Below are 12,046 nucleotides of genomic sequence, written 5' to 3'. Positions count from 1 at the left end.
ATACAGGGTGTTTTTAGTCATTATTTCAGTACCTGAGGAAAATGTAAAAACACAAAGCCACACATGTACCAAGGCACTACATGAGTGTACTTGGTTTCACCATCTAATTTAGCCCTCTGAAGTGTAGAGTCCATCGAGGCTATTATTTTGTGGATTGTGTACTGAAGTTGCTTTTCTTTGTTCTCCCAACATACACTTGTGACACTTCCAACCTCTGATATGTATATGTTAAATACAGGCTGTTTTTCAAACAAGATAAATCAAATGCTAGCTAGGAAGTGTGCCTAGAGTTTAAAGCATTCTAGAATGTACTCCCATATAACAGCTATACTTATATAATACCTACATTGTGCCAGTGTTTCATATATGTGAAGTGCTTTAATCCTCACAACAAACATAGGAGGGATGTAGTATTATTACCCCCTTTTTACAGATGTGAAAACTGCAGTACACAAGGTGAAGTGAGAGGCCCCAAATCACACAGCTAGTAAATGGCAGTGTCAGACCTCAAATTCCACTAGTCTGTCTTCAGAGTCTATATAATTAACCACTGCTCCCTGTGCTTTTAAAGGTTAGTTTAATGGATATTGTGCTATTTCTAATAAAAGGATATAATTTTTGTTATATATTTTTCTTCTTAGTCTTCACTTTTGGATCTTGGACCACATGTGCTATTATCATATTTTAGCTCATAAGAGACTTCTCTGATAATTTTGTATAAAATACACTTATAGAACATTTGTATCTTGTAAATGTAATTTTTCTTACCATTATCTCATTTGATCCCCCTTATCCACCTCTAGAATATACAGAGCTTTATCCTCATTTTTCAGACGAAGAAATGGACCAAAGAAGACTAAACAATTTGTTCAACTCCATATCACCAGTTTGTAGCAGTTCTGTGACTAGAAACCAAATTTCCTGGCTCTTAGTCCTACATTCTTTCTAGTATTTCAAATCATCTTTTCATTTCTCTCCCTTATGCTTTTGGAAAGAAAATTGAGAAGAACGTTAAGAACCCCAGTAAAATTGGAGAGGCATTTCTTGAGAAATATTTAAAATAATTTAAGAAGTCTTCACAAAAGTAGTAGGCAAAAATGTGTTACATTAACAACGGATCTCATTAAGTCAGTGCATACAGCTAGGTTCTGGTTTATTAATTTTCAATTTTTTCATTTTTGGGCCTGCCTAATCTGAACACTTTGCAGTACAATTCTGAGTGCTCTCATGCTTTGTGCTATCGCTTTCTTAAGGTAGCTCATTTGCACTTGTTCATCATCCTGTTCCTTCCCCCAGTCTCCTGGGCTCTGTTGCTAATTATTGACCCAGGAAAGCCTCAGAAGGGGCCAAGGCAGCTAAAATTGGAGTGCTCTTTACTTAGACTTATAATGCATTTTCCATTTTTCAGAAAGAGTAAAGCACTTTTAGCTACCAGATCCAGAGACCATTCAGTTATATGGGCACTTGAGTTTCTGCTAAAGAATCACAACTCAATTTAATTTTTTTTTTTTTTGGTATTTCATTCACAGCCAGTCTGGAGTGTGTGTGTGTGTGTGTGTGTGTGTGTGTGTGTGTGTATTTCTGTTTCTGTATTAACATATGAGACAGCAGAATAATAATGTGTCCATTCATTCCATAGATATTTCTCAAAGAGTTGCCAAGAATAAAGAATAGTGCTAAAAAAAGGTGGAAGATGGTTAGGTGTAAAATTACCTCCTCTCACAGGACCTGGCACATGACAAATGCTTCAGAAATATTTATCAAACTGAAATGAGCTATTACATGAATTGTATTCTCTGGCTTTGGAATCTATTGGGGAAATGATGAAGTCATTAAATATATGCGAATTGGAAAGGAATTTAGGAATCATCTTATGCAGCCCTTTTACTTTAAAGATGAAGCAATGGAAATGCAAGAAAGTTATGTGTCTTTTCCAAGCAAGATCACACATCTATTTCGAAATAATATGCTTTTTTTCATTGTAACATGTGTTTTAGAGATTACACATATGTCAATGTCTGTAGTGCAGGGCATAATGTGAGGAGAGCTGTTGAATGCTTTAGAACAGTGCTACCCAGTGGAAATATAATGCACACCCCATATACAATTTTAGATTTTTATTAATAGCCAGATTTTTAAAAGTTTAAAAGTCAGTGAAATTATTTTTTTCATACTAAGTCTTCAAAATCCAGAGTGTGTATTATATTTTTGACACATCTCAATTTGGACTAGCCATATTTTAAGTATTTAATAGTTATATGTGTCTTGGGGGGGGCTACTCTATAGACTATATGGCTCCAGAATCACAGAGAGGGAAAAATAATAATGTATTTTTAAAGCTGCAGTATTTTTACCATGGGTTATATTTTTAAGTTTGATTGTAACACAAAAGTACAAAAATGAAACAAACTGACTCAACACATTTTTTTTCTTTTTTTTATTATTATACTTTAAGTTTTAGGGTACATGTGCACAACGTGCAGGTTTGTTACATATGTATACATGTGCCATATTGGTGTGCTGCACCCATTAACTCGTCATCTAGCATTAGGTATATCTCCTAATGCTATCCCTTCCCCCTCCTCCCACCCCACAACAGTCCCCGGTGTGTGATGTTCCCCTTCCTGTGTCCATGTGTTCTCATTGTTCAATTCCCACCTATGAGTGAGAACATGCGGTGTTTGGTTTTCTGTCCTTGCGATAGTTTGCTGAGAATGATAGTTTCCAGCTTCATCCATGTCCCTACAAAGGACATGAACTCATCATTTTTTATGGCTGCATAGCATTCCATGGTGTATATGTGCCACATTTTCTTAATCTAGTTTATCATTGTGACTCAACACATTTAAAAAAAAAATCTAGAGTAGACCTATACAATTTGACAGATTGCATCAATAGTTACAATTTTAGACACCCCTACCCCTCCACACATAGAAATTAGTGAATAAGCAGACTGTCAATAGTACTGGCTCAAATAATTCTACATACAAGTTCTACCAAACTTTCAAGGGAGGGGTAACTTCTACCTTATACGAATTATCTCATTTTACAAGTAACTATAAGTATACAATAAGTTCCATTTGCAGCACTATAGGAGCTTGAACTGTCTGCCAATTTTTAAAGAATATGCTCAAGCAATAATCTTGGTTATCCATATTATCTTACATTTCCTTATGAATATTGAGAGTTCTGTTATTGATAAATACAAAGGTGTCACTGTTTAATACACTACTGTGTAGGTCCTTTTGCTATGCATTTACTATTTAAAGCGTAAAAACGTAGGTAGCAAGAAGATTTATCTTTCTGGCTATTCTTGAAATTCCTGTTTCTAACAAGATATTCTGCAGAAGCAAAGATACTACTGCATTGTTCAATGTTTCCACAAAAGGTTAATATAATTGTGGGTTCAGCTATCACCTTGACCTTTTCTTGGATCTTTGATCAGAGTTTAGGTAAATATGTTGTTAGGTTTCCCCCTTTTAAGTTCCTGAGCTTTTGAAGTAAAACCAGAGCTGAGATAGGAAAGTGAACAGCAAGGGGCAGAGCACAGCAGAAACTGAATTAGGTCACTTTTCTAGAGGCTTCTGAATTTGGTACAGTAGGATTTCTGTGATCATCTTAAACCTAGCTTTTCAAAAGGCTATTACTGTTCCATTTTATTCTCTGGCCCAGAAAATAAATCAGAAGACTTCTACATCCTTTTCCTCAAAAGCTGATTCTGATTCTCTATATGATGCCACATTAATAAAGTTTTCCCTATTAATTACCATGATGCCATGCAGCCTTCTAAGATGTTTTCTTTAGTTCTTAGTTCCTTTGCAGTTCCATCTCCAAGCATAAATTCTCATTAATAATCAGTACAGTGAGGAAGATAGACATGTGTCAGTCAGTGAGAATGCTTGCAGCTGTAACTGCCAGAAAGTTGTAACTTAACTGGCTTAAACCAAAGCCATCCTGAGGTGGGAGGCTCCAAGTCACTCAGTGACATTATCAAAGGCGGCCTGAGTCTTTTTCATCTTTCTCTTCTGCCAGCCTCAAGTGTTGGTGAGTTTTCTGGTTTGTTCCTGTAAACTCGAGATGTCTGTCACAGGTCCACCTATTACATGCAGATAACTATGGCCAGTCAGAAAAGAGGATCTTCTTTTTACGTCTTCTTTTAAGAAAGAAAAAAAATCATTTCCAGATGGTCTCCCCTTGTCCCACTTCCCTTCAATGTCTTATTGGCCAAAATGGTTTCACATGCCGATGTCTTAACAAATCACTGCCTTGGAAATCGTACTTTCATGATTAGCTGAGACAATCAGGTTTCCCTCATGGTGGCTGGGGCTGAGGCCCACCTCCCTGTAAGTATGTGGCTGCAAGGGTAGGTGGATATTTGAATTTCACTGGGGGCCTAGTAGGAAGGAATGGCTCTTGGGTAGGCTACCCATAGAGTCAACTACAAGTAAATCAGAAACTATAGTATCATAAGTGCTACAGGGAAACATGTAAATGCAGGATGCTGTAGGAACACGCAAGAAGGGCCCCTGGCCATGCTTGCTTGAGCAAGAGGGAGAGAGGAATGCCAGAGTGGGCTTTTAATGAAAATGTTATCTGATCTGAGATATAAAGCTCAAGAGGAGATAGCCAAGGAAAGGGTGGTGGAAGGAGAGAGAGGGTATCAGGTAGACACAGTATCATGTGCAAATGACTGGGAATAAGATAAAATGTGGTAGGTTTGGGGAGATGCAGAAAAATTAGTTGGCCTAAGGTATAGAGCATAAGTTGGGGAGTCAGTCAGAAATAGGGCTATAGAGGTAAACTGTAGATCATAAAAGATCTGATAAGTCACATAGAAATTTCTACTTTATTCTGCTGCAGTGGGGAGCCAGTGAAATATTTTAAGCAGCAAATGACATAATTAAATATGCACTTCAAAAAAAAAATGTCTTTGGCTGCTGTGGGAAATTGGATTGCAAATCTTCAAGACCAAAAGTAGGTAGAACATGTGAGAATCAATTACAATATTCCAGGAAAGAGTGGTGAAGGGCTTTAAGATAATGTCAGTGGGGCTGGAGAGAGGTGAATAGGTTTGATTGATGTTTAGGGGTTTTGACTAAACAGGACTTGGTTAATAGGTAAGAGAAATAGGGATTAATAATCACTCACATTTCTGGCTTGGACAACTAGGAGGATGGGAATGACATTTACTGAGTTAGGATATCCAAAGAAGAAGCAGACTGGGGGCAAGGGGAGTGAATTAATTTAAATTGTAACTAATGAAGGGCTTATTCTGTATGAAATTCAAGAGAAGTATTCCAGTCCTTAAAGCATTTTCAAATGCCAAGGGATATATTAACCAATAAGTGGTATAGAACAATACTAGGGGTACTATAATTTATCACAGATGGTCATCAATAAAGCAAGAGAGAGAGATAAAAGAGCTTAAAGAAGAAATTGCCTCTCTCTCAGAAAGAATTAGTGGGAGAATCTGATGTTCTTCATGAAAGAAAAAAATTTTAGTTGAATCTTGCATAAAAAGATTAGACAGATGGGAATTGTCGAGGGTGGAGGCACTGTACACTACATGAAGCATATTTAAGGAATGATAACAGTCTAGATTGCTAGCAAGCTTGAATAGGCAAAATAAAATAGAAAGGTTAGGGATTAGTTGAATTAGTCAGAACTGTTGAGATTCCAAGAGAAAAACAAAATTCACATTTTCTGTGTTGATCTATTATTGCAAGGTGCATTAGTCAGCTATTGCTACAGTAATGCTACCGAACAATCAACTACAAAATACCAATGACATTTGCTTCTTGCTCATAGTCCTACTAATGGGTCAGAATAGTGCTGCTTCAGGCTGCAGGTTGCCTTCATGCTTGTTCTTCATGTTTCTCCTTCTTGGACCAGTGATCTCCCAGGGCGTGTCCTTGTGGCACAGTTTACAACTCCCAATGTGGCAAGTAGAAATGTTCAATACTTTGTAAGGCCTCAGTTTATAAAGCAGTATCATTTGTGCCCACATTCTGTTAGCCACAGCACATAATGTGACTAAACCCAATATCACTGAGGGAGGAGAGCATGAGGAAGAAAAGGATGGTGAATATATGCTGCAATGCCTAAAACATAATGTAAATATAGATAGCATTGGATTTGACCCATAAGCCATAAAGATTCTAGAATACCAGTGTTCCCAACTATGGAGTGCCCAATGAGCTTCTTGACAAACTCAGGAGAGTAACCTCCATTTGTGTGACCTCCTTTCTTTGCTCTTTATTTGTGCTTTTCAAAGGGATGACATGAGCCCATAAACTACTCATTGGGTTGCTTGGTCAGAATCAGAACCAGTTACTTCAGGACTGTCTCATTTCATGATTAGTTGCCTTTGGTCTCATGCAGTGGTATCAGTTCATTCCTCTAGAGGTTTATGTTCCCTCAATCACCAGCAATACTGAGTGAATGATAAGAACTAAAGCAATAAAAAATGATTGAACTATTTTCCTTAGTATGTAGTTATTGGACTTCTTCCAAAAATCCAGCACACTTATAAAAACCAAACTAAGGCATTTTGCTGGTTATTGTGCCAATAGTGTGTCTTAATTAGTCCTGAGAATTTATGTGGCCCATGAAAGAGGCATAATTTTCCTAAGATTGCACAGCTAAGTTACATATCTGAGACTTGAAGACATCCTCAGATTATGTTATCCCTAAATCTCTAATTGCTATGTAGCAAAAGATTTTAGCCATTTTTTTATTCCTGAATCAAGGATACATAAATAAAGTTGTATTCAATCAATCCAAAAATCCTCAAGCCCAAATAATCCTAGTACTTGAGCAGACCTTATAGTGTGTGTGCACAAGTGCGCATGCGTGTACTCTATTTTTAGATTATCTTTTAAGAGGGACCGGTGACATGGTCATACAGTACAACAGAAGAACTCACTCCCTGTTTCTCTATAATTCCCATATTACACTCAGCACTTGCTCTCCTTTCATTCTGTGGCTTCTGTGCTGCTAGCAGTGACCAGTGACTCAGGAAGGCTGCATATAGTGAAGAAAAAGTTGCCTTTCCAGGCACAGTTCAGTCCTGAGGCGCCTTTTCACACCATCTCATAGACATTTCAGAGCCAAACTCTAGCTTTCTTTTTATGACTACTTTTCCATTCCACACTTTTCTTAATGTTGCAGGAGATAATTTGAAAGAAAGGAAAAAAGAACAGGGAGAACACAAAGGCAAGAAGATGAGCAAGATGCCAGATTTAAGAAGTATATTTATATTTAGTTCTTTACAAATTAAATTCTGCTGAGACCCTTAAATATTAGCTGTCACAGGGGTTGTGCTTGAAAAACTTGATTCCAACCCTAAGCATAAAAATCTTGTCTAGGCAGGGCAGTAGATTGGAGGATTATCATTACACATTATAGGAGGAAGGCCCTGTTCAATGCCAGGTTCCAAGAATGCCATCTCAGGGAGCGAGGGAAAGACATAGGCCAGGTAACATGTCTGATGTATGGAGAAAAGCCCTCAGGGTGCCATGTTGGTGGAACAGGAGCAGAAAGGAAATCAGACTGAGAGAATGAAAACTCAATAGAAGCACAATAAACAGACTGAACAAAGTACAGATGGAGTCAGTTCAAGTTTAATATGAATGTCCCTGGGCCCTGTGTTTCATCCCAGTGTTAAGTGCAGGAAATCATTGGATTTCTCCAAGGATGGGTCTTTAGAGCAACCGACTTTAGAAATTGAATACTTTAAAATTATTTTCTATAAACAAATTTATCAATAGAAAAAATAGATTACTTAATTGGTTTATCTTAATGAGAAAACAACAAAAAGCTTCAACAAATAATTGTTGCTGATTGGTTGGTGGGTTCGTTGGTGAATAATGAGAAGGAAAGAAGGAAGAAAAGAAAAGAAGGAGTAGAGGAGGAAAGGAGGTGAGAGAGGGAGATTTGAAAGGGAAATAGCGGTGCTCTAAGTTCACAATTTTTAAAAGCCTAGAGTTATTAACAAATTATGCCCTCAATCAGATTTTATATAACTTTTTTCAATCTTGTCATATATTAATGTGCTGTATTCATGAAATGATTTTGAGATTTTAAAGCAATGATTGACAATATAGTAGTTCATTTAAAGTTTTTACAAGTTGCTGCTGACAAAATATGGGTAATGAATTACATCAAATAAGTATAAATATAAGTACACGCTTTGAAGTTAAAACTCAGTAAGTTGTTATGATTAAAATTGTTCACTTTATTTTCCTCCTGTGTATGGGTTTCTCATAAATGGTAACTTATACCTATGAAAATACAGGGTTCTATAAAGTCTGAAAACATAGTTATTATATATCTTAACGGACCGAAGATGTCCTTCCTGATATTATGTATAGCCTGTGTTTCCAGACTAAGTGCCAGGCACTATTCTAAGTTAGGCACGATTCTAAGTGTTTTACTGTTCATTTAGGCTGTCTGGCTAGTGTTTTTCTCACCTTATCAGCATCCCATTTTTATTAAGTGAATTTGCCTAAACACACCTGCACACGCACATGCATGCGCGTGCACACACACACACTTTTTGCATTTGGAAGCCTGGCTATTATGGAACTCTAGAACATGAGAGCTCAGGGTCAACCACCAAGACTCAATAAGGTATGGCTGGGGATGTGACCAAGACTATCCTAGCATCTATGGCTGTGGACTGGGTGTCTTCTCCACTGACCCTTGAAGGTAGTTTTGCTTCACTGCTTTAGAAATGGTGCAGAGACTTAATCTTATTTCACTTTTCGGTGTTTGTCTTGGTTCCTGTAGAACTGGCTTGAGGCTTAGAAGATGTCCTCCCACCTGCATTTGGAAAAATACATTTCTAACACTTCTCCTCATATGGAAATTTTTAAGTCATTGAAAAACTCATACTGCAGCATTTGTAGAAACAATTTCAGAACAGAGTACCTTATTGCTTTTCCTAAAAGAATTTTAACTGTGCATGTATAAGTATTATAAATGCATAAAATATATAGTTAATCCAAAAGACATAACTATATCATGCATAGTAGTTATAGGTCACCTCAGATATATTAGTAACATCTTTTTATAGAGACTCTGTTGTTATTTCACTCACACAAAAGAATAAACACAGAATTAAGGTTGAAATTTACATAAGACCAGTCTAAAGCCAGCCATAGCTATGTAATTTCCATGATTTTCTCCCAATCAATGGAAAATTACTGTCAGCTGAGCCAAAGTCTGCAGACTGTGAGCAAATGTCTGTTTCCTTCCCACAACTGAGTGTTTGAAACTTTTTTCAATCAGTAAAATTACCATTAAAGGTCAGAGATTAGTTTTTCATGCATGATGGATTCCATTTGCTTTAAAAGTATTATACCAGGAGAGTAGACTTTTTTTCTGACTTTAGAATCAAATTAGAATTCAAATATTCAGAGTTTTGGGTCAACCTCAAACTATTTTATTTTGTTTATTTTCCCTTGACAAAATGTTATTGTTTTAAATAGGGAAGGAGAAAGGTCTTGGGAAAACACACACACACACACACACACACACACACACACATATATATGTACTCTCTCATATTTGAAATTAGCATGTAGTTTAAGGATACTGCACACAGCTCTATGATGAGCTTAACTTGAATCTCCTTAGATTATGAGCATTTTGAAAGCAGGGACTTGATTTTTTAACTAAATACCTTTCATGTTTGATAACCTGTTCCTTTTCCTGTGTGTATTGTCTTAACTAAAGACTGCCTGCAATGAACAGAAGGGCTATGGTCTTTTTTTTATTAAGATAAAAGAATTTTCCAAATCGTTGTTTATAAAATAAAAGATTAGAAAAATTCACCTGTGTATAAATTGAACTAGACTTCTATAACATAGCAGCCATCTTGTGCAGAAAGGGGCTGCTTACGTAGTTTATTTCTTTAACACACAGTTGCTAATTACAAAAACAGCATGCATCCAGAGATTGTGAAAAAAGAAGTTAAAAAAAATCTTGCCTATTATTCTACCACCGTAACACAATTATGTTTAACATTTTTCATATTTTTAATTTATTTTCTCTTTCCATAAATTCTAATCTGTCTATAAATGTACTATTGTGGTCTGCTTCGTTGACTAACAGAATATTTTCACCCCTTTCAGAACCCTTTTTTTAAAAAATGGCTTCTTTTGTGTATTTGAAACAATTTCAACTTAACCCTATTGCATATATTCTGTAAGTAGCTGTCCTTCATGAAACAGACAACTTTTTCTTTTAAAAATCAAGGAGATTGTACAGAACTTTGTGATTTTAATTACTGCATGGCAAACTAATTCAGTCTCATATCCTTTCCATTTAATAGGGATTTGTCCCTAGCTATGTGACCTAAGCAAGCTCTTTAACTGTACTCCACCTCAATTTGCTTATCTGTAAAACATGGATAATATTATTTTTAGTCTAAAACTTCCTCTGGTATGACAGAAAAGACCAATGTGAAACAATTCCCTGAATTTGTCAATAAACCATGTTACATTTATAAAAATGCCTCCAGTGTACCCAGACCAGAGGAATCTGTGGCTTATACTAAAACGTGTATTATGTATTCATTCTCAAGGTATATGCCAACAGTTAAGTTAGAAATCCATCCCTTTCTCTGTCACTTGTCCAAAGTCAATTACTCCATGCTTCTTTTACATAAGGAAAACTATCTTAAAAGGAGGAAGTAAGATCACGGACAAACAAAAGTTCATAAGGTCTTTCATTTTACTGCCTTTCAAAAGGTTAAGATCAGAGAACTTAGACATGCATAAGCTTTGGTTTGAGGAACAATTGAGTCAACCATCGTAACAGAGGGCCTGAAAGTATCTGAAGGTAGAATGAATAGTTTATAGTAAGCCAGTCCACTCTCAGCTCTGAGAACATCCAGCTGCATAACCTCAAGGGAACTGCGTGGAAAAAATTAAGGGAAATTCTTTGGGCTTTAGAGCTTTTCATTTCCTATGAACAAGGCATCTCCTGCCCTTGTCTCACCCATATCTCCATTGTCCTCATGTAGTCTTCTGCTGGTTCACTGTGTGCCTGGCAAGTCAGGTTCTTACGCGAGGGAAAGAGCTGTTTTAAGTTGTTTATGAATAGAGAAAGCAGATTCAGTCAGACGTAATCTGACTCTGTATGCCTGCAGGGGTTGTGGCCTTTGTTAGTTTATTATGCCTGTAATTTGGGAAGTCATGCTGCAGAGATGTAAAGTGGGATGGGCCTGAAATAGGTCTTGTAATAAAAAGGCAGTTAGGGAAGCCTGCTGGTGTCCTGCCTGGTTACTACTATCTAAGTGCAGCAATGTGTTAGTTGATTTTAATAAAGAGTTGAAATCATTGTTAACTGGCCTCCCTCCCACTGAGTGAAGAAGGCAGATTACACAGGCACACGTTTGCCTCCCCTAGTGTGTACTATGAATGCAGCTGCTTCTGAAGGGCCAGCACGTGGCCTTCTTAAAACTTTCCTTGGCTGGGGTTTTCCCTTCTTGCCAACTGGTGCCCACCAAGCCAGTGGATGCTCTCAACGTCTAGGCAAATGCCAAAAATGTCATCTTTGGCTCAGATGTGCACTGGCCTGTTAGAGACAACTGCCATGCAGAGAAGGAATGTCATCAGCTGCTAGGTCTCAAATTATCAGCCTGGATTGACAGCTGCAGGATGTAGTGCCTGCCTATAGTACTGAGGCCATGACCCACCTCTGGAGAGACCACAGCCTCATCCCTAGAGTAGAACTGGAAATTCTCCATTGAGACAGGAAGGCAGCACTTGAACCTGGCAGGTTTTGGAGTGAAGTGTCTAAGGACAGAATTTCTCATTTCTCCACCTCTGCCCATGTGTAAGGCAGCAATATTTTCATAGAGGTGAAGAAGGCAGGTGTCCCGTGGTTATTATGACATCTGTTTACCTCATTCTAGTCACTGTGCCATGTTTCACAGCCATTGTCAACTACATTTGGTGAAAACTGTTTCCTCCGTCCACAACTGGAACATTGACACTAACCACATTCTAGAGTTCATTACATAGAGCTGTGTCTGTGG

General features: G+C 37.4%; 1 protein-coding gene across 28 annotated transcripts in view, besides 1 other annotated feature; it reads left to right on the top strand.

Moving 5' to 3' along the window:
- Positions 1 to 129: part of an enhancer, noted in NCBI's record as "BRD4-independent group 4 enhancer chr5:58624407-58625606 (GRCh37/hg19 assembly coordinates)", that runs on past the window's edge. NCBI's record gives its function as "activates an origin of replication core promoter dependent on BRD2, P300/CBP, MED14 and CDK7 cofactors, and independent of BRD4, by STARR-seq in HCT116 cells {active_cell/tissue: HCT116}" and the evidence as "EXISTENCE:reporter gene assay evidence [ECO:0000049][PMID:35650434]".
- Positions 1 to 12,046, top strand: part of PDE4D (phosphodiesterase 4D) — a 1,553,091-nt gene that overhangs the window by 1,193,419 nt on the left and 347,626 nt on the right. Inside the window, exon 1 of one of the 28 annotated variants that reach the window (XM_047417298.1) lies at positions 1 to 12,046. This exon is cut by the window's left edge and continues 28,261 nt beyond it. The exons of the other annotated variants lie outside the window; for them this stretch is intronic. The gene's annotated coding sequence lies outside the window, so the exon portion shown is untranslated. 28 annotated transcript variants of the gene reach the window in all.

Source organism: Homo sapiens, chromosome 5 (genome assembly GCF_000001405.40).
Source record: "Homo sapiens chromosome 5, GRCh38.p14 Primary Assembly".
In the NCBI taxonomy this organism is placed as follows: Eukaryota; Metazoa; Chordata; class Mammalia; order Primates; family Hominidae; genus Homo; species Homo sapiens.
The sequence above is the reverse complement of the archived record's forward strand: the minus strand, read 5'-3'. Positions and strand labels throughout refer to the sequence as shown.